At 44.5% G+C, this 21,524-nt stretch overlaps 1 protein-coding gene across 16 annotated transcripts in view, besides 7 other annotated features; it reads right to left on the bottom strand.

Annotated features, from left to right (window-relative positions):
• SAMD4A (sterile alpha motif domain containing 4A) overlaps positions 1 to 15,658 on the bottom strand; it is a 228,000-nt gene extending 212,342 nt beyond the window's left edge. For 6 of the 16 annotated variants that reach the window (XM_047431136.1, XM_024449516.2, XM_047431138.1 and 3 more), the window contains exons 1-2: positions 14,664 to 14,865; positions 12,862 to 13,478 (exon numbers count right to left, since the gene is read on the bottom strand). In XM_047431136.1, the coding sequence (XP_047287092.1) occupies positions 12,862 to 13,057 (196 nt within the window). In that variant the 5' untranslated portion in view covers positions 13,058 to 13,478; positions 14,664 to 14,865. Of the gene's footprint in view, positions 1 to 12,861; positions 13,479 to 13,635; positions 13,847 to 14,663; positions 14,866 to 15,115 lie in introns of those variants that run through there. The other 10 variants (XM_024449514.2, XM_047431139.1, XM_047431141.1 and 7 more) reach the window with 4 other exon arrangements.
• Positions 12,815 to 12,874: a silencer, noted in NCBI's record as "silent region_5772". NCBI's record gives its function as "represses an Ori minimal core promoter by ATAC-STARR-seq in GM12878 lymphoblastoid cells {active_cell/tissue: GM12878}" and the evidence as "EXISTENCE:reporter gene assay evidence [ECO:0000049][PMID:35858748]".
• Positions 13,115 to 13,174: a silencer, noted in NCBI's record as "silent region_5771". NCBI's record gives its function as "represses an Ori minimal core promoter by ATAC-STARR-seq in GM12878 lymphoblastoid cells {active_cell/tissue: GM12878}" and the evidence as "EXISTENCE:reporter gene assay evidence [ECO:0000049][PMID:35858748]".
• Positions 14,015 to 14,204: a silencer, noted in NCBI's record as "silent region_5770". NCBI's record gives its function as "represses an Ori minimal core promoter by ATAC-STARR-seq in GM12878 lymphoblastoid cells {active_cell/tissue: GM12878}" and the evidence as "EXISTENCE:reporter gene assay evidence [ECO:0000049][PMID:35858748]".
• Positions 14,325 to 14,374: a silencer, noted in NCBI's record as "silent region_5769". NCBI's record gives its function as "represses an Ori minimal core promoter by ATAC-STARR-seq in GM12878 lymphoblastoid cells {active_cell/tissue: GM12878}" and the evidence as "EXISTENCE:reporter gene assay evidence [ECO:0000049][PMID:35858748]".
• Positions 14,935 to 15,064: a silencer, noted in NCBI's record as "silent region_5768". NCBI's record gives its function as "represses an Ori minimal core promoter by ATAC-STARR-seq in GM12878 lymphoblastoid cells {active_cell/tissue: GM12878}" and the evidence as "EXISTENCE:reporter gene assay evidence [ECO:0000049][PMID:35858748]".
• Positions 15,695 to 15,764: a silencer, noted in NCBI's record as "silent region_5767". NCBI's record gives its function as "represses an Ori minimal core promoter by ATAC-STARR-seq in GM12878 lymphoblastoid cells {active_cell/tissue: GM12878}" and the evidence as "EXISTENCE:reporter gene assay evidence [ECO:0000049][PMID:35858748]".
• Positions 15,775 to 15,824: a silencer, noted in NCBI's record as "silent region_5766". NCBI's record gives its function as "represses an Ori minimal core promoter by ATAC-STARR-seq in GM12878 lymphoblastoid cells {active_cell/tissue: GM12878}" and the evidence as "EXISTENCE:reporter gene assay evidence [ECO:0000049][PMID:35858748]".

Here is a 21,524-nt window from a genome sequence, read left to right as displayed (position 1 = left end):
TCTCATCTTGACCTGTTTTGTTAATCAATCTGTATGCACTTAGATTTATCTCACAACCTAGATGGTAAACCCCTTGTGGATTACGGATGTCAGTTAAATTTCTTTAAATTCATTCATCCGCTCTTTCAACGAAAACGTTCTGAGATCACCTATGTGCTAGACACACTATTAGGCACTGGAGGATAAAAGTGACTAAGGCACAGGGTAATCAGATAGTGAACAACACCAGTACCTTGAGACTAGTGCTATACAAAGGTATCAGCAGGGCACCAGCAAGCCCTAAGAGACTGGGGAAGACCCTCAGGAAGAGCTGTCGTAGACAAGGAGACTCCTGGTTGGTCCACACCACCATACACATTAACACCCAGTAAGGAACTGTTTAACCAACGAATGAATGAAATTTCTCCCCACAGGTAGTGGGCAGTCATGAAGGACACCCAGTGCTCCACTAGGGTTTAGGGCAACTCCAGAGTAGCCAAGTCAGATTCTGCATAAACCAAGAAGACATTGCTGGAACAGTGATTATAACATGCTTCCTACACTATAACACTCTGCAATTTCAAAATACGAGGGCTAATCACTTTCCAATCCAAACAAACTGTGCTTTATTGTGAGTAAAGAAACAGAAAGGGGTGGGGGAGTCTGGAAATGACTTTGAGGGGACCATTTTAATGAATGTAGTCTTTGAAATTCAGGTAAATAGAGCCTCTCTCATTTCCAGCACAAGAAGTCATTCACTGTGGCAGCCAAGTCGGCCATGAGAAAGTTGTGATACCAAAGTCTAGGTCAAAGTCGGGAAGCGACTGGATCTAACACCAGCTCTTCCCCTACTAACAGGTGCCCTTAGTGGACCCCAGTACACCTCAGTCTTCTCAGGTCTTCAACAAAGGGGCTGCAGTATGTAAGGTCTCTTCTACTTCCTTAATTGCATGTTGCTAGTAAATGAAATAAATACAACTCACTCTTATACCAACTGTAACATATTTTCCTAAACTAATGTTCTGAAAATTTCCACCACTTACAAACAACAGGAGAGCTCATTTTAATTTACAGCCCTCAGACTGGTACTTTGACCAACTGCAGATCCTATGGAGATCCTGACCCAGCACATCACTTCCTAGTTTGTCAAAGTCAAGGACGTCATGAGCAATTATGTAACACATTCCTTAGGCTTTCCTTTCTGCAGTGTGCAGGGCCTGTTTCCCTCCTCAAGCCCAGCCCATTCATGCAGAGGCCACAGAAGCATCCATTCCATGAGTCTTCCTTAAAGGAAGAGAGATGTTTAAATCAATGCCTTTCACTTCATTTTTTTAAAGCCAGTGGAAAAACAAAGCTAAGCCATACCAAGCTATGGAGAGTTAAAATGTCATAAGTAAGAGGAATATTTAAATGGACAAGCTGAAAAGAATTTTTCCAAGATGAAACATATACAATGTTACTGTGAATTATTAAAACTACCATTAAAAATACATGTTTTTTGTTCAATTGCCAACATTTTCATTTACCTAAGAACTGGAATCTATCTTCAGCATTCATGCAATAGCAAGGATTCAACATAGGTTTTGGGATCAGAAAGATGCTGGTGACCTTAGGCACATTTCCAACCACTCTAAACCTAAGTTTCCTCATCTGGAAAATGGAGATAGTATCTACTTTGTGGGATTCATATAACTTAGAAACCAGGGATTAAGCACTTACAGTGTGCTTGACTCTGAGAGGTCAGCCCATTATCTAATTATTGAAATATACGGCATTTAATTTTCACAACCACTCGTTCTGCTTCTTTGTATCATTCATCCATTCAATAACAGGAGATAGTGTTTGTGTGTGTATGTTGCTGTCTGCACAGTGTGTGACACACAGAACATGCTAAGAAGAATAGACGCTCTTACCATTCAAGGAATATCATATGGTCATTTTTAGAACTACACGGAGAGAAGAAAAAAGATATGGAGGTTTAGACAGCAATTCTGAGTTACTTTTGTTAATAAGTGCCTAACACACTCAGCACTTATCACTGCTTTTGGGTGACCCAAAAGAAGCAAGATTCAATTCACTTCATTACAGCTTTTTCTTAAATGTGGAAGCCCTACTCATCACAGTGATCTAGCCTTTGACTGTCTACTACCATAAAAAAACTGAAAATTAATCTACAGGTGTATTTCATAAAAAGCCACAAATCTGTGGTCCAAACAGGCCAAAAAGTGCAGGAGGAATACACTGGAAATCAAGAAGACTTTTATTTTTATTTTTTATTTTTTTAAGATGGAGTCTCGCTCTGTCACCCAGGCTGGAGTGCAGTGGTGCGATCTCGGCTTACTGCAACCTCCGCCTCCTCGGTTCAAGCAATTCTCCTGCCTCAGCCTCCCGAGTAGTTGGGACTACAGGCACACACAACCACGCCCAGCTAATTTTTTGTATTTTTGTTAGAGATGGGGTTTCGCCACGTTGGCCAAGCTGGTCTTGAACTCCTGACCTCAAGTGATCCGCCCGCTTCAGCCTACCAAAGTGCTGGGATTACAGGCATGAGCCAGTGCGCCCACCAAGAAAACTTTTAAAACCACCCTTATTTATTCACTCATTCATTCATTTACTCATCTTGTCTCTCTCTCTCTCTTTCTCCTCTGCTCTCAATAGTTTTGTGTTCCTATCTTCATTCCTGATTCATAGAAATCATAGAATCTTAAGGTCAGAAGGGACTTTGGAAGTCATCCAAGAAATCAGAGCTTCTTTCCTAAGCAAATAGACACTAAATTCCTACAGTGGAGAGGCATGTGGGGTGGTTCCGAAGCCAGAGTGCTTGTTTCCTCCCTGACAAATGGAATAATGGCAGTTCCTACCTCATCTCATAGGGTTATTGAGAAGAATAAATGAGGTCATGTTATGCAAACAACTGGCACAGAGCAGGTGCTCAATAAACAGGAGCCAGTCTTACTCGAAAGGATTATTCTGCTTGATGCTAAAGGCTCGTCCAAATCTGATGAAGCCCAGGCCACTGCATTGTTTGGGCAGCCCTAATCATCATAAAGTTTTTCTCTACTCTGAGCTAAATGAACAGCAGCTTCCACTCACTGCCCTCTACATGGACGGAGAATTTAACCCTTCAACTCCAAGCCAGCTTTCTGAGTAAGCAGTGACAGCTCTCTGCTCATCTTCTTCTCAGTTCACCCTGGCTTTCGAGTGCCCCCCCGCCATTCTGTCTTCTCTGGCCACATCCTGATTTGTCCATCTCCCTCCGAGTGTGTACCCAGAACTGCCTCCTGGACTCCAGGGAGAGTGCGACTGGTAGCACAGACTTGTTCTGAGTACAATGACTGTATTACAGAGTTTAGTGGCTTTGGGCGCAACCACATTGTGACATTATTCATATGAAGTTGTAAGTGTGCTAAAAGCCAGAGTCCCTTTTTATGCATGCTATTGAAGCACTATGCCTTCTCTAGCTTAGGTTTAGGGGATGCCAATGTAGGGGCTACACTTTAATGCTTTATATGTCATCTGGTTACATTCAAATATTTTGATCATGATTCTGTCATCAAGCCATGAGCTATCCTTCTAGGTTCATCCATAGACTTTACAAACACCTTCTTAGCTTGGATAACACTGCAGCCCTTGCTGTGGCCCCCAGCTTCACACAGGTATAACCTGACAGCACCCTGCCTTGGCTGTACCATGTCTTTCTAGCATTCTGCCTTGGGGCGTCTTTGAGACACCTGCAGAAACACGTACAAACCTGAAAGTACAGGGACTCAGTACCCTGGGGCAACACTTGGCCAAGGGAGAGGGGAATAATGGATACATGCCTACCTCATCTGTCCTTCAGCCACTTCCCAAGCACATTCTATGTGGCTCCTCAGAGGATCCCTGTGGGATTAAGCCCCCACTGCCCACAGCAGTGACCAGCTTGATAATGCAGGCTTGTGTTGGCTCTTCCTCCTTCCTTGTTTCTCTCTTTGTAGCCCCTTCTCCTGTTGCCTGGGATCAGTGCCCAAAATAAGCCACCCGCACACCAGCCCTTGCCTCAGGCTCTGCCTTCTTGGGGACCCCAGGCTAAGTCACATTCCATCGACACTAGTGATAATGTCCAACATGTGAGCTTCAATGTACAGCACCAGAGATCTCCCTTTAGGCAGACAGTGGCTGGAGACAGGCCTGTAACAGTCACTGAAACCACGCTAAAGCCACACAACTAGATTCTCACCTGCTGCTATTTCTCCATTAATTCATCAGGAAATAAGAGGTTTTGTCAAAGGCTATGCTGAAACTTAGATATGGGATTCCCTGTGATCTGCCTGGAACACAGAAGTCTCTCAGCAAATGCTATCTCCCCCCTTTCCCACTGCCCCATCAGATAGGAAATGGCATTAGTTCTCCACGGTCCATCCTCCCACTCACAGCAAAACCATGCTGGTTCCTATTTCTTCATCCATACGCTCATAGATCATGTTTTAAATATTCTTCTGGTATCTTGCACAGGCCCAATATTAACCTCTCAGATGCCTACAATGTGCAAAACCTGGTTTCTCCCTCCTTTTTCCTTTTTCAAACGGAGACAAGTTTATTTATCTTGAGGCACATGGAGTGGTTCTGAAGTCAGACAGTTTGTTTCTCCCATTCATTTACCACTCTTCAAAATTTCAAAACTGGTTCAGCATTGACATTTTACTCATGCATTTTAACTGTGTTTAAATCACATGTTTGGTGCACATACACAGATAGAAATGTATACAATGAAAGTCAATGTTGTGTATGTATTTATGCTGCACACACAGACGCTTGGATTCTATGACAGATCAGGATAAACTGCTTCAGAAATTCCAGTGACTGCACTTTATGGGAGTGCTCTGGGGAAGTAGGGGGAAGAGAACTCTCCCATCCAGTCTCTGGAATGAACATTCCTGCTCTTTCCAGCTCAACTTTACAGCCCATAGCATCAGCAAAAAAAAAAAAAAAAAAAAAAAAAAAAAAAAAAAAAGAAAGAAAGAAAGAAATCTTTCCTGGAGCCTCATTTTCCATAAGACACTGATCGCTAGAGTGCCTGGAAATTTCAGCATATTCAAAAAGCTCGGGGAAATTCTCCGGCCTTCTTCAAACCCAAACTCAGTGCAGGCTGTGAGAGGTAGTTCAAAGAGCCGGTGAGAGAATTATTGCTGAGAGCAGTATATAAAATGCTCAAATAATTTAATGAGTGACCACACTACCAAACTAAAAAGCGTCAGTATTTCAGTGCTTACATGCGTAAGTAAAACTTGAAAAGATTTTTAAGTCAATAATTCCATCATATGAAACACACCTGCACTACTAGCATACTCTCTGACTAAAGCAATCCATGGGGATTTTCCAGGGCAAAGTGACCTCAAAGTGCCTGTAGACACTTAGCATGCACTTTTGTACATTACTACTTAAGACTGACTACAGTGTCCACCTTGTCCTGTCTGTCTCCTCCCCCTGCCTTCCAAAGAGGTCCCACCGCCAGAGCTAAGAAAGATTTGCTTTGCTCTGCATGTGAAGCCAACAGAAAACTGTAGAGAGACTCAGAAAATGACCTTCCTCATATCAGCAAGTTCAGTGGGCAAAAGATAAGTGGTCCCCATCTTATTATAGGAAACCACCTGGGCCAGTTTAAAACCCAGCCCTAAGCAAGGGCTCTAACAGGTTACTGCCATTTGATAGGGGTTGAGACAGGAGAAAGAGCATCGGACTGAGGAGAGTCAGATTCTGATCCCAGATCTGCTGGCCATAGCTTTGTCGACCAATGTCTTTTCTCAGAGCCTGAGAAAGACCACTGCCCTTGGTCACAGATTTCCAAACTGCTCTCCTAGGACACTTAGGTTTGGGGAGTAGGGGGTTGGGGGGACATTCACTTCCCATAAACCTTCATCTAAGTTCTCACTTGCAAACAAAAATCTTCTGACACATAGCCGTAAAACTTGAAAGCTACTGCACCAAATTGCCTCTTTCCTTTCTAACAGTCTCTTTCATTTCTGCACCTTTCATTTCTAACAGTCTACCCTCAAAGTATGGTCCGCAGATACGCAGCATCAACATCACCTGGGAGCCTACTACAATCCCAGGAGTTCAGCTCCACCTCCCCAGGCCTCTTCAATCAGAGTTTTCAGGTTTTCAGTACAAGATTCCAAAGTGATCTGCGTGCAACTAAATTTTGAGAACTGGTCTACGACACTTTATCTTTTCCTCTAACTGTTTCAGATGTTATTGCTCAACGCTAGTTAGAGTCAAAGCATCCTACAAAAATATCCTACTAGGAGGAGCCAAGAGAACTATTACTAAGTCTTACAATGTTATGCATACTTAAGCGGGATGAAAATACTAGGTGACCAGATGTTCCATTTTCGTATCTTTAAATATACTGGAAATCATAGAGTGTTGGGATTGATTCTCCACTCACCAAGCAATCACTTATGACGGTGAATATCCCTCATGCTCTCCTCTCTCTACCCTATTCACATTCATCCTTCAAAGGCCCAGGAAGCCTGCCCCTTCCATGGCACATGCACAGAGTTCCCTGCATGTGTGGTTTTCTTGATGAAACTGGCATTTGAGGTACTACAACAGCAAGAATCTCATAAGCCCTAAAAGCACTTATTTCATGTGACACAGTCAAGTTTACTTCTTCCATTCAGCTTCTCAGACTGCCCAATCCACGCTGTTCTCTCCTTTCACTCAATTTCAGTTTTGTTCTCTAATCAGAACCACAGCACTTAGCAACTGTGTATGATCGAATTATGACATATTTTCTTATGTTTGTTTCAGCTCTGCAACTCGAGTGTAAGCTACTTGAGAGGAGTAATGTGTATTTCAGCTTTTGACAGGGCCCTGGGCTCTCTGCTGGGGTATTTGGTAAATTTATATGTGCCAAGGAACTCAGTCCCACTTTCTTACCAAATACACTTTGTCAGGTACCATTACAATGGCACTGTATTATCTACTGTGTAAAAGAAACCACTGAATCATTTGATTGCTTTTTCCTAGTAAACTAAGACAAGAAAGCTGTTTTAAAATGTTGATATGTGGAATGGGAACAAAACAATAGAATGAGCTTCCGGGTTCCAGGGAATCCCATGTTCCTACATAAAAGCAGGCAGGTACTCTGAATTCCAAGCTGGCTCTTGGGATGTAGGCAGCAGAGCAAGGCCCAAGCCTCGACTCTAGGCCCCTGTTCTAAAAGTTCTGCTTTCTTTGGGAAAATCCTGCCTCAGGCAGCTTCAATGGAAGCAAAAATAGCTCAGAAGAGATGTCTGCTTCTGCATCTTAATCTATGTGAATTGGATGAGCTCAGTGAGGCCTTGGAAGGAATGATCAGGAGAGATGAAAAGGAAGGAACATACTAAAATCTCAAAGTAGTGATTGTATATTTTAAAAAGGAAAAGAAAAGATTTCTACGAGCACCATACCTTTCCTAGCAAATGAGTTACACAAAGCACTTCACCCACAGATGAAAACCTCCAAATTTCTCCTTGGGTCAAGGAGAAGCAATATTTTCCCTCTTCTCTGGTGTTGTCAATTCTCTCTAGAATTAGACTTCTGTAGGACTGTCTGGGAAGTTTTCAGTTACTTTCAGCCCTTCAACCCTCATCTTGTGTCCTCGTTTGTTTATTTAAACAAAAACAAGTCAATTTGACTGTTGTGAAGTTTCTCTGCCTTTTACTTGCTTTGATGGGGCCTGTTTATAGCATATACTCAATTGTTGAAGGCCGTGAGTGCCCAGGCGATACAACCAAACCCAAATTATTCACAACAAAGAGTACAAATATATGTGACCTGCTACAACTTACAAGCAGCAGTAAACTGCAGGGTCATCCCAGACTGACCCAAAGAAAATTACAAAACCCTAAGTGAAAAGTGCTTCATATATAAAGCCCCTAAATATTTCATTCAGCAAAATGATTTCTTCTTTTCACATTCACCAACTGAAGGAAAAAGTGTTGATAAGTTATTTGGGAAAACTGGGTCAGGGCTGCATATTTTTAGGAGACAGAGTGAAAAAACAAAGCTAAAACATAGAAGGTGGGTCCCAGTAGACTTATATCTTTTTAGGGTTCCAAGTCATCCTCAATCTCTTCTTCATAATCCTTTAAATGAAAAGATTTCTGATCATTTAGAAAAATATTATTCATATCAATTCTATATTAATTAAAGGCAAATTTAAACCTGAGGGATAGAATAGATCCTTGCTGGATCATTAACAAGTAACTTCCGGACAATAACAAGGTTTTATAATCATCATTTCTCAGATAAGAAAACTGAGGCTTAGAAATTATTTAACTAGCCCAGGCTGATTTAAAAATCTGTACTCTAAAAATCTTCTACAACTTATGCCCTCCTATGACTATAAATAGATGGGCACCTGGAGAATACTTTTTTCTCTATTTCCATCCTTCCTTCTCCTGCATATGCCAATGCGGACAGCAACCAAGCTGCCCTTAGAAGATAATGCCACCATGTGGCCAAAATGGAAACTGTCTGAACTAAACTGGCTCTTCCACTCATGCCTCTCAGAGGATCATGCATGTAGGCCCATACATTAAAGGGGATAACACTATCTTCTGCATGGGAGATACCTTCTTGACCCCTCTTTACAATCTTTTTATATTAAAATATTGAACCAACTCCTATTCGCCCCTCAGGACTCAGCTCAAATGTATCTCCTCCTCAGGGAAGTCTTCCCTGATTCCCCAGGCAATAAGTGGCTAGGTTCACAATGCTCCCAGTAGGCCTCTCCTCATACTTTTTATCCCCATATCTATGCTTCAACACCTATGATATTATATTAGTCATTTACCCCACACTAAGAGTATCTATCTGTACTAGGCACTGGACTAGAGTTAAGTTACCTTTACATTTCCATTGCATAACACTGGGTCAGGAAAATAGCAGGCAGTCAGAAAATGTTTGTGGAATGAATAAATGAATGAAAAAACTACAAACAAGATCTTATCCATATCATCAGGAAAACCTCTTCTGCTGCTTTCTTTTTATGCCATTTGTAACCTTAAAAAGTAACGCAGGGTGGAGGATGGCATACTTGTACTACAGAAACCAAAACCATAAAAATCATGGAACCAACATACCCACCCTCTAATGACAGCAAGTTTACACAAATATGGGGTGAGGGTGACAGCCCCTCATCCCATTCTAAATATGTTACCTCCAATACACTATGGATTATCAATTTTTTTAAAAAAGTTAGAATTGTGTCTAGAATAAGAGTAATTACATTCTGAGAGAGAGTCTTCAAGCTCCACAATTATTTTTTTGTCTCAAACATCACCATTTTGGATACCCTTTTCTCTTGTATTTAACTATAAGTATAGGAATTTATTGTCATTTACTTACCACAAACATACACAAATAGTGTATATTTTGTGGGTTACGTTTTTGTGGATTAACTTATAAATCTCTATGAAAAATATATTTCAAGTCCAAGTGACAAAAGCCATAAATAAACAATGCCACAAAGTCTATTTTTCTTTTGGAAACTTCAGGTAAAGTCAGTGGGTTGCATTTTTGCTACTTGTAGGTATCAAATGACCTGCTAGTCCTGGAACTGAGACTGGCCAGAAGTCTCAATGTTCAACTGGAGCAGTAGCTGAAGAGACTTATCTAAGGTTATAAGGATCCTGGGAACAAGACTGTACTAGAGAACTGATCATGACCATATCTGTTAAAAGAAAAACACATACAAATAAATCCATAGGGACTGATTCAATCATTTCTTGGAATCTCCAATGACCATGAGCCTGAGGCAAAGGATGAACCAGTGAATCACTAGATTCTCAATAAATTTAAGAGAATGAAAGCACCAAATTACATCCCACAAATCTCAAATAAATCATGTTTAATGCGCAGGATATCTCACTATTTAAAATCAGTCCTGCATAAAACGAGAGATATATTCATACTATTACTAGTAATTTTTTTTTATTATACTGAGATCGAGTCCCATATATGAATTTGGTTCCCATTTACCAAGTTTTAAAATCTCTAAACACTAGACAAAATGTGAGGGTTTTTTAAATTGATGATTACAAAATAAAGTGATACAAGATGACTTCGGTACAGGAAATCTCAGCAATCCAATGAATGAGTCATTCTGCACAGCCTAGTTTTCTGAATTGGTAAGAGCCTTACACATCAAAACAGCTCAGAGGTTAATTATTCTGGGTGTAAACATTTCCAAAGTATATTGAACATTTCCTTCTCTTCTTAAAGAGTGTATCTAAAAATGTATTATTTCCATAGTTCACCGTTAACAACAGTAAATAGCAATTATTTGTTTATGTTATTATAGAGTGGTGCCTACAAGGTCAATTGAGGGTTCCCACCCTAATATTCCCAAGCCTTCAAAGTTTCTGCCCCAATTCTTGTCTAAAGTTACAGTTTTTCTGTCTCTTTCCAAGTTGTCAGGCTGTCAGGGGTCACTTTTTACTACTGATTACAGCAGTCCCTCACCCCATTCTAAATGTGTTACCCCCAATACACTACGGATTATTTGTCAAATTTTTTAAATGTTAGGATTGTGTCTAGAATAAGAGCAAGTACATTCTGAGAGAGGGCCTGAAATATTCTCTTGGACTTTCATGCTATCTACTCTGGTTGCGAAGTGGACTTTTTGCCCCCTTCCTGGTTCTTGGCTAGTTTCCGGATATGCAGAGAGCCACACTACAGACTCAGGTATGCTATGACAACTCCTGATGCTCTTTATGATCCCCACACTCCGAAAGTAAACCAAATCATCACATGACCTCCTAAGAAATTTCTGTCCTGGCCACACAACAAAACAACTGCAAAGATTTCCATGCAGGCAAAACGTCTAGGCGAAGGATTAATCCAGAAACTGGAGACCAGTTCCTATCTTACACAATGGTTCTATATTTTGTATATCTACATCATTTAGCAGCATGAACAGGTGGGTATCTTATACAAATAAGTATGGCCAAACATGTCTTAAGGGAAAAAAAATGCCAAGTGACTTCAAAAAATTCACAGTTCAATTTTTTAAATTATGAGATTTTTAAAATTAGGCCACCTTATTTTAACATTTAACTGTTTTACTTACTAACCTGGTGGCTGCTCTATTGGGAAAAGTCATCTCCATTACTCAAAGGGAAAAAGTGCTGCTCCAACATTTGAATAACCTAAAGATGAGTTTGAACAGTCCCTACCAGCACTGAAATCAAGCATTCAACCTAAATGACTCTGCGTAAATCCTCTGCAATCTATAAAATGCAAAAGTTTATATAACCTTGTTTGTCAAACCTGAGAAAGTAAAACCGAGCAGGTAAACCAGGCTTCCCGCTGAAATTAAGGAAGGAAGCAAAGAGGGTGGATCATCAGTTACCCAATTATGCTTCCACACCCCAGTGAAGGAGGCTGGCCCTCCAGCTATTTATAAACGTGGAGCTCAACCAAAGGGGGCCCTGTCATCGCCACCCCAGTGAGTCCTGGTGTGAGCTGGGAGGCTCGGGCTCAATGGAATCTCCCTCAATGTGGCCCTCCATACTTGGCCATGCAGGATCTTTCGGGTGCAGTCCTGTCTGGTCAGGAAAAGAACTGTGAAGATTTCCAGCGGTCACTTCCACCCTATGATTCTATATATGGAAGCATCCCATTCTAGTGTTTTCACCATCGTGCACACCATACTAGGGAGGAGGAATGAGTAGGCCGGCTCGCTTCTTGCTGCTCTGAAGGCACACTCACTTTAGTGTCTCCCAGGCCCCACTGCCCTGGACTGGACCTTGTCATCAAATGGCAGCCCAGACCTCTGCTGAGCTTTGCAGGCTCGCAGCTCCAACATGGAACAGCTGGAAGAGGACCCTGCATTCTTTTCTCTGCATAAACACTGGGGACTCTGTTCACCCTCCTGCAGCAGCATGAACTAAAGAATTTCCCCCTATCCAAAATCACAACCATCAGACTTTCCCCCCATCCCCCAGCCTCCTCCTACCCTCCAGGATATAATTTCAGTCTGTCACCACCCACGCTAGCAAATAGGAAACTGCTGGACCTTTCGACTATATTCACTTTCCATACTAGTTGAGGTGTCTGTAAATACTAGCAGGGTAATATGAAACGATTCTGTTCTATTCAGTAAAGTTTCCTAACGAAAAGCATTAAGTAACCCACTTCATGCCTGTCCTTTCTCCAAGACCCTTTTTTTCTACAAGATCCGTATCAATATGGATAATGTCACGAGCAGTAAGCTTAACCGCATTATATATATATATATATATATATATATATATATATATATATATATATATATGCTGCAAATGTCATTTTACTAGTCTCTAGCGTCACCTGCATATTATTCTGAAGACGAAGCTCTAAAACCAGAATATCTGTGGGGAAAAATGAATAATAAAATTGGATTTTCATGTACTCCTCACACAGCCTTATCCAAGCTTGGCTTCTGAAGGGCAGTCCCGGGCATCTATCATGTGTTGCTGAAATCCAGCGAGCCACGTTGCCCAAAAGAAGGAGGAGGAAGGAAAAAACACACACACCCAGAAAATCCAGACTCTACGTGACCTGACTTACTTATTTCCCAGGAAACTGCATGAGAGAAAAATCAATCATTCATGCTACCGTAGCTACCACACGGAAAGGGCTGACGGAGTTCACAGTGGGCAAAATCCCAAAGCGGCCGGCGGAGGTAAGTAGGTGGGGGGCGGTAGTGGGGGGACACCCGGAGGGGGTGGATTCCGAGGGCCTCGGGGCCACGCCGTCCAGGTCCCGGCGCGGCTGGCAGGGACTGGCCTCGGCCTGGCCCGAGGCAGAGAAGCGGAGGGAGGAGCGGGGGTTGGGCAGGCGGGACGGCGGCGGCGGCCGCCGCACACTTACCGGGGCTGTTGGCCTCGCGTTCGAGGACGTGCAGCTCGGCGCAGTCGGCCAGCGAGTGCTCCAGGCAGAGCTGGAGGAAGCGGGCCTGGGTCTGGCTCACGCGCTTGAGCAGCGACAGCAGCGCAACAGTCTGCTCGCACTCGTTCCAGCCCTTAAACCAGCCCGCCAGCACCCCGACCTGGTCGCGAAACATCATGGTTAGGGGGCCGCCCTCGGTCTACAGAGCCCCCTGGGCGCCCCAGCCCGCCCCGCCCGCCCCAAAGTTTGGCGGAGCCGCAGCCCCGCGGCCGGAGACGCGTTCCTGTTCCAAGGTGGCTCTGGTGCCCGGACGCTGCAGGTACTGCCTGGGCTCCTGCCTCTCTTGTCTGGTTTCAGTTACGTTCCGGTGGTTCTGGCTGATTTCCCCAGAGACGATGACAGACAGTAGCACGGAAATGTTTCTTTAAAAAAAAAAACGACTTTTTAAAAATCCCCCACAAGGCACACAACTGAATGAAGAATGCTTTCTCCCCCCTTCTTGCAGCTTTGGGATGGTGATTTCCGGCGTCCTGGGGTCTCCTCCCCGCTGGGCGGCAACTCGGACCCTTCACGCCCGCATTCCCGAGCGGCGATCACCACTGGAAGGAGAGAAAGAGCTGCAGTGAGACCTCGGCTAGCGGAGGAGCGCGCCCTGGGGGGACGAGGGCATCAGAGGGTGCTGGGGCCAGGGGAGGGGGCGTCCCGCGGAAGGTTGGGTTCGCCGAAATCCAGCCGCCCCCTCCGCCCCCTCCGCACCCGATGTGGGAGATGGGCTATTCCCCACCGGGTAACAGCGAGAAGCCTGCTTCCCAGGTGCGGGAGGAGACCCCGCGGCTTCCTGTTGCTGCCGCTGCCAACGGCTGGTGCTCCCCTCACGGCCCGCCTGGGGTGGCCTCGGGCGCCGTGCTTAAGAACGCCAGCACCAGCAACAGATCTTCCCCGCGCAGAAAACTTGCAATGCGGCTGCGAAGGGGCGCGGGGGTGGGGGTGGGAGCTAATGCAAAGCAGAGGCGGAGGCAGCGGCAGCCCGAGTTCCTTCCTCCTCCTCTTACTCCTCCTCCTCCTCCCAGAGAAGCAGCCGAGCGGCTGCAGCTCCATCTACAGCAACAGCCAGCATCTCCACCGCCAGGCGCCCCTCTGGATTTAGGCCGTGAGCAGCCGCGGCAGCAGCTCGAGACAAAAATAAACTCTCTCCACCCAAAGCTCCGCGCCCAGCGGGCGGCGGCGCAACCCAGAGCCCCGGCTCCCCCGCGCCGCGCCGCACCAGCCCACCCGGGAGGTCTCCCTGGGCCTGCTCCGGCCGGAGCGGTCACTGTGCGCGCGCGTGTGCGTGTGTGTGTGCGCGCGTGTGTGGCAGGCATCCTGCCGCCGCCGCCTACGGGCTGGTCTGTCCGGCCCGGAGCCTCGCCCGCGCGTCGCAGGCCGAGGGCGGCACAGCGCTGGGCACACGCCCCGCGAGGGGACGGCCGGGGTCCGCAGCGCTGCTCCCTTCGGCCAGCGGGGCGGCCCCGCGGGGAATGCGGATCGGCGCCGCAGGCACACGCCCCCCAACGACAGCAAAGAAAGTTCGGCTGCGGGGGTTCCCCCAGTCCCATCCCGGTTCTCGTGGCCGCCGCCGGCGGGGAGGAGAACCCAGCGACTCAGCCTTCAAGGAGCCGCTAGCTTCCAACAACACGCTGCTTCCGGCTCCCAGAACTTCTCGGGCGGAGGGGGAAGCCCCCGGGGAGGGGACCCCCAGTGACCCGCGGGTCCCCCGCCGAGGGCCGTAGGGAGGGAGCGCTCACCTCGGCGCGGCTCATCCCGGCGGCTCGGGGGCCCTTGCGCGGGTCCGGGGCCGCGGCGGCTCTCAGCGGGGTTGGGGGCGCCCGGAGCGCCGGCCGCGGGCCATGCCGTCGGGGCGGGCGGCGCGGGGAGAGTGCGGTGCTTCGAGTCGGGGCCGCTGCAGCCGCCGCTGCTGCTGCCTCCAGTGTCGGCTCGCGGAGGACTGAGCCGCCCGAGCCGGAGCTCCCCACATGCTACTGATTAACATACACCATTACATCATGGGCTTGGCAGGGAGCGCCCGAGCGGGGGGAGAGGAACCCGGGCGGCGGCGACGGCACGCGGGGGGAGCCGGGGGGAGGAACCCCGGACCCGGCGCAGGGCGGGGGGACGGATTCCTAAGTGGGGACCAGAAAAAGGGGAGGGGAGCGGAGTGGGAGGAGCTGGTGGCGCAGAGGGGTCGGGTAGAAGGAACCTCCGAGAGGAACGAAGAAGTTCGGGGAAGAGGACGGGTCCGGGTGAATTTCTTCCTGCGGCCGCCTGCGTGTTCTGGAGGGGTCGGGACACTCAAGCCACTGGAGCCCCGGCAGAAAGGGACCCGAGGGCGCTCGGGCGGGGGCGGTGCTGCCACCCGCTGCTTGTCCTTGGGAATGTGGTTCGTCCGCTCGGCTGACCCTCGGCCCTTCTGGGGCCCCGGGGTGGCCGAGGTGTTTGGCCCCCGGGCGGTGAGACCCGAGGTCACTGCCGCACTTGCTGGGATGGGTTCCGGGGGTCGTGGAGGCGAAGGGTTCACGAGGCTGAGGGGCAGTGCGCAGGGTTGGACCTGCCCAGGCGCTAGGTTCCGTGCCGCCCTAGTCCAAGGGCCTGGCCCGGGTCGGGTGCCGGATGCCCTTTGCTCTGGCGCAGGCTCCTAGAGGCCGGCCCGGCGCCTGGCTGAGTCCCACTCTTCCCCGGGGAGGTGGCCGAACTCCTGAGACCGGTCGGGGGAGCTGTGCCTGGCGCGCGGGCTGCGGCTTCTGGCCTGGAGCGGAGGCGAGCGCCGCCCTGGGCGACAAAGAGGCGGGGCGAGGCCACCTGTCAGCGCTTAGGCGTCGCCAGGCCTCGCAACCTTCACCTGGATCTGGAGAGTGCGCAGGGCCGCGGCCACACCGGGGCTTCAGGTCCTTGCCGCGCGAGAGGCGAGGAGGGCGCAGCGCAGAGGCTGAGTGGCGCAGGGTGGGCTGCGAAAGTGCCTCTGCTAGTCTTGAAAGTAAAGGTTTGGTTAAAAATACCCTAAACCCTAAAAACCTCTGTACCTCCTGATATGGGTTGAATATTCGCAAGAAGGACTGGATGACTAAATCTGGGCTATCTCCGTGATTTCAGAGGAAACACTGCTCCCTCCAGCAACTTGAGGCTTTGTTTATACGGGAGTAATTCTGAGAAGGCAGTGAAACGCGTGTTTCAGACCCAGCCTTTCCTACTCCTGCTAATCCACTGTTTTGAAGAGAAAGTATCTGAGATATTATTCCACTAATTAACACTTTTGTTTTCCAACTCCGGCATATGTCCCTGGAATTTAAATGCTTTCTTCCCTTCCTCCTCAAATTTAGTTTCTGCAGCGTATAGTTCGTTTCAGACACGTGATAGCACCTAACCATCTGTTAGGGTTTTTGAAAGGTCTTGTCGAGGTCGAGCTGCAAAAATGTGGATTTTTTAAAAGTTAATTATTAACCAGACAGGTGAGGTATCCGCTTAATTTAATGAATATTTTGCCCTATTTAGAAAACAGGAAACCTGAAGTCAGTGTTTTATTTTTGTTTTGTTTTGTTACTGTAGAGGCAGAAAGGCTTGATAGATTTTCTCCAAGAGATTACTATGAATTAGCTAATTCTTAGTAATAACTTATATCAGGAAATAGGGAGGATTAGAGAGTATGGTCTACTTCGGTATATACCTTGCTATAAATTGTAGGCAAAGCAGATGTCGTTCTAGGGCTTTTGGAAGCTCCCAAGAGTGAATTTTTTTTAAAAGAAAGTGAAAAAACCAGAAATTTCATTAACATGTATTTTCACCTGCAGCTTACTAAAGGTATAGTAAAACTAAAAACAAAACAACAAAAAAAAAAAACAAAACTTAAGCTGGTGAATGAAAATACTGCCATCTACTGGAAAAGTGTAGTTCTTACACCAGCCTTTGACCTAGGAAAAGACATTGATTTATCTCATTTTTGAATTCTTACTGTTCAGGACACTCTAAGACATATAAAGTTGAGCATGACATGAGCTGTCAGTACTCTTGTATTTGTGTGTTAACAATTCCTTTCCTCTGGGCAAAGGAAAGGGAGTATAAATAAAACCCAGGGATGTGGCCTCACTCTTCCCCAGAGTGAAGTCATCACTCTAAAGGAAAAAAAAAATACATTCATTAAATATAAGGTATTGTATTAAGTGTGGATTTTTCCTATGTCAACCTGGACCCAGTATTATTGATAAATAAGAAGTGCCTAACACTTACTATATAGTCACATCACTTGAAAAATGAATGAAAATATCCTTTCATTAGAAGAGATATTACTATGTCTATGTTCACTGTATTCCTATTTATTCATTTGAAAAATACTTATTGTGTCACCTTGTGCCAGGCACTGGGTTAGGCAATAAGTACCCTGAGTATTCTGAGTACCAAGTACAGGCACTGAATACACGATGGGGTACTAACCAAGAGATACTTTATATGAATAAAACACAGATCAGATTATCATGAATTAACATTCCCAACATTATTTTGCTTTTCTCCTCCTTAGAATCTGGGAAGGGAAGAAATTGTTTTCTGAGTGAATAATACTTTTGATCAAATAATTAAAATGTTCAGATGTTCCAAAGATTACTAATTCTAGATAAATCATTGACATATTTATAAATCACTGTTTAAGAGGATGCCTGGGTATTATTTGCATAAATAAGAAATCCCAGAGATTTCATGTTTATTTTAAATTTATATTTCTTCTAGAATAATCTAAAACAAAAGAAATGCATTAGATATAAAAACAGAGCTGTAAGCTTTAATTATTTGCTTTATAAATGAGCAAAAGTATTAAAATCTCTACATAAAGGTAAATGACAATGGATAATTGCCATTCATTTAATCATTTGATAAATATATATTGAATACTTGTTCTGGGCCAAGTCCTCAAGATAAAATATTAAGACATTTGGTATTTTTTATCTAACACAAAAGCCCATATAGCAAACATATATATGATTATATTATATAGCAAGAAAATATATAAATAAAATTTCATATATTCATTACACATTTTAAATGCATATATATGCCATAGGAAAATGTGTGAAAAGATTTACACCAAAATGGTAACTAATGGTGATCTTCTCTGCATGATAGGATTTCTGAGTATTGTTGTCTTGTTTCTCCATATTTTCTAACTTTTCTACTGTGAGTAAGAAAACTAAAACCAAAACACTACGTGAGTTCAGGCCTACTGTCTAAAACTTAATTTTAAAAGAAACTAAAGAAACTCTACTATAAAATTTAGGTCTATAACTCCCAAGAATTGTTTGAGCCTGTATCACTTCCTACCTAGGTCTTATCCTAGACTCAGTAGTGGGTCTCCCTTCCTCACTTCTGATCTCTCCACTCTCTAGCTCAGACATTTTCTGTGGTTTCTGAATAGACACTGAATACATTCCAGACTATTTGGGCTGGCATACAAAGACTCCAGGATTCGGCCACTGTCTGCCCTTCTGCACGTCTCTTCTACATTTCATTCACTGATTCATTCACAGAAAGTATTTGTTGAGTATAAATCACTGTGCTAGGCAATTAGAAGAGACAAAGGTAGAAGAAGAACCATGCTCTCTTCAACCTCCAGTGTGTAGCATAAATTATGTTCTTGGCACGTGCGTGCACACACCCACACTTCACAAAAACGTACAATGTGAAGTGGGTCTGAGGGGAGGCAACACAGTGTTGAGAGAGATAAGAAGAGGTAGCAATTCTGCTAGAAAATTAAGGAAGACACTGTGGCTCTGTTGCCTTTTGAGCTGGTGTTCATTGGATAAATAGTTTCAACACAGATAGGCAAAATTTTAAACATTTAGGACACCCTATGGGGACCAGGATATCTAGATATTGTTTGTATCAAGAAAGCATCCTGAGGACTCCGTGTTCGTGTATCTTAAGTTCATATTTCTTCTAGCAGTTATAAGTAAAACAAGGGAAGGAAATGCAGGTCTTCCCAGACTTTGCTGTACGCTAGTGGAAAGTGATCCTCCAGTAACCGCATCTACTGAATGAGCTATTATGTATCCTTTTTCAGATTACCTGAGAATGCAATTTTTAGGACTCTACCCCACTGAAGTAAAAGCACCATTGCTATAAGATAAAGTATACTAAAATATAAGTATAAATACAAAAATGTTAATTTTAGCAGTTTGTAATAGCAAAATGCTAGAATATCTATCTGCAGGGCAATGAGCAAATAAAGTATTAAACTGCCATACTGCGAACTTTATGCCCTTTTTAAAAAATATATATATATTTTAGAGACAGGGTTCACTATGTTGCTCAGGCTGGTCTCAAAACTCCTGGGCTCAAGCGATCCTCTCAAAGTGCTGAGATTATAAGCGTGAGCCACCTCACCCAGCCTTATGCACTTATTTTTTAAAATAAGTTCTACTTCACCTGTAATCCCAGCACTTTGGGAGGTCAAGGTGGGTGGATCATGAGGTCAGGAGTTTGAGACCAGCCTGGCCAACATGGTGAAACCCTGTCTCTACTAAAAATACAAAAATTAGCCGGGCGTGGTGGCGAGCACCTGTAATCCCAGCTACTCGGGAGGCTGAGGCAGGAGAATCGCTTGAACCCAGGAGGCAGAGGTTGCAGTGAGCCGAGATTGCGAGATTGCATCACTGCACTCCAGCCTGGGCGACAGAGCAAGACTCCGTGTCAAAAAAAAAAAAAAAAGTTATACTTGAGTAAAATGCATCAAAATATAATAGACTGATGGATAGAGAAATAGATAACGTGATAAAAAACAAATACAGCAAAATGTTAATTGTAGTATATAGGTGGTGAGGATATAGGTGCTCACTGTTTAATTCTTCCAAATTTTCTGTATGTTTGAAAATGTTTATAATAAATTATTGGAGATAAAAAGGAATGATTCGAGTTTACATGTATTGGCCTAGAAAGATACGTTTTAAAAGTGTCTTTAGTATAATTGTATTTTTGTGGTTTAAGAAGGCTGGCTCTAGAGCAAGAGTCCTGAGTCTTCAAGCCTAGTGCTCCATCATTTACCAGCCCTGTGACCTTTCTCACGCCACTCCCACTCTATGGTTTAGTGTTACTGATAACAAACCTACCTCGTTGTTATTATGAGGAGTAAACAAATAATACACTTGATTTCTTAAAACAGTACCAGGCATGTAGCAAGTATTCAATATATAGTATTATTAGCTGTGATTGAGAGGAAAAAAGAGAGCATGTTGGGTGGGAAGGAGAAAACCTGTCTCTCTCTCTCTCTGTGTATATATATATAAACTTTGTATATATGTTTTATATATATATATATATATATATATATATATACATACACACACACATATATATATTTGTATGGAATGGGAGGAGGACACACACACACACACAGCATTATGTTTTTTTGTTTAAGGGTAATGCAACCCCATAATGAAACAATCAGACAAATCCAGAAAGAGAGACATTCTCCAAGATAACTGGCCTGGAAAAAAATGGCAGGACTGCTCCAGATTAAAAGAGACATAGGGCACACGACGGTCATAAGCAATGTATGACCCTTCATCCATTGAGGTTTGAAAAAATAGCTATAAAAGACATTTGGGGGATAATTGGGGAAATATTGAACATAAGCTGGAAATTAGCTGATATTGGGGAATGATTATTAGTTTTGTTAGGTGTGACCATGGTATTGTGGTTATGAAGCAGAGTACCGTTTCATTTCATTTTTAAAAAGATGATCATGCTGAGGTGTCTGGGTAAGTGGTCAAGATGTTTGCAACTTACTTATAAATAATTCAGCAAAAAACACATACATAAACACATAGATAAATGTGGCAAATGTTGCATCAGGTGGTGAGTATAATAGGTCTACATTGAACTATTATTATTTTTTTGTTTTGTTTTGGTTTTTTGAGACAGAGTCTCACTCTGTCACCCAGGCTAGAGTGCAATGGTGTGATCTTGGCTCACTGCAACTTCCACCTCCTGGGTTCAAGCGATTCTCCTGCCTCAGCTTCCCAAGTAGCTGGGATTACAGGTGCCTGCCACCATGCTTGGCTCATTTTTGTATTTTTAGTAGAGACAGGGTTTCACCAAGTTGGCCAGGCTGGTCTCGAACTCCTCACCTCCAGTGATCATCCCACCTCAGCCTCCCAAAGTACTGGGATTACAGGCATGAGCCACCACACCTGCCCTGAACTATTATTTTAAATTTTCTGTGTGTTTGAGATTTTTCTTAATAGAAAGTTAAAAAACAGAGTTAAGTAGAAAGTTTTAAAACACAGACACAGAGGGTTGTGAACAACATTTGCAAACACAAGGGGATGTGCACGTTCTTAGTAAATACTGTCAGTGCTTTGGCATTAAGAACAAAGACATGAATTGTAGCAACATCAGAGTTTAATGCAGTGTTTCTCAAAGGGGTTCACGAAACTTGAGCATCACAATCACCTGGGCTCTTATTAAAAATGCAGATCCCTGCTGGGCATGGTGGCTCACACCTGCAATCCCAACACTTTGGGAGGCGGAGGAGGGAGGATTGCTTGAGCTCAGGAGTTCAAGACCAGCCTGGGCAATAGTGAGCTCTCATCTCTATTAAAATTCAAAAAAAAATTTTAGCTGGGCAT

Source organism: Homo sapiens, chromosome 14 (assembly GCF_000001405.40).
Source record: "Homo sapiens chromosome 14, GRCh38.p14 Primary Assembly".
In the NCBI taxonomy this organism is placed as follows: Eukaryota; Metazoa; Chordata; class Mammalia; order Primates; family Hominidae; genus Homo; species Homo sapiens.
The sequence above is the reverse complement of the archived record's forward strand: the minus strand, read 5'-3'. Positions and strand labels throughout refer to the sequence as shown.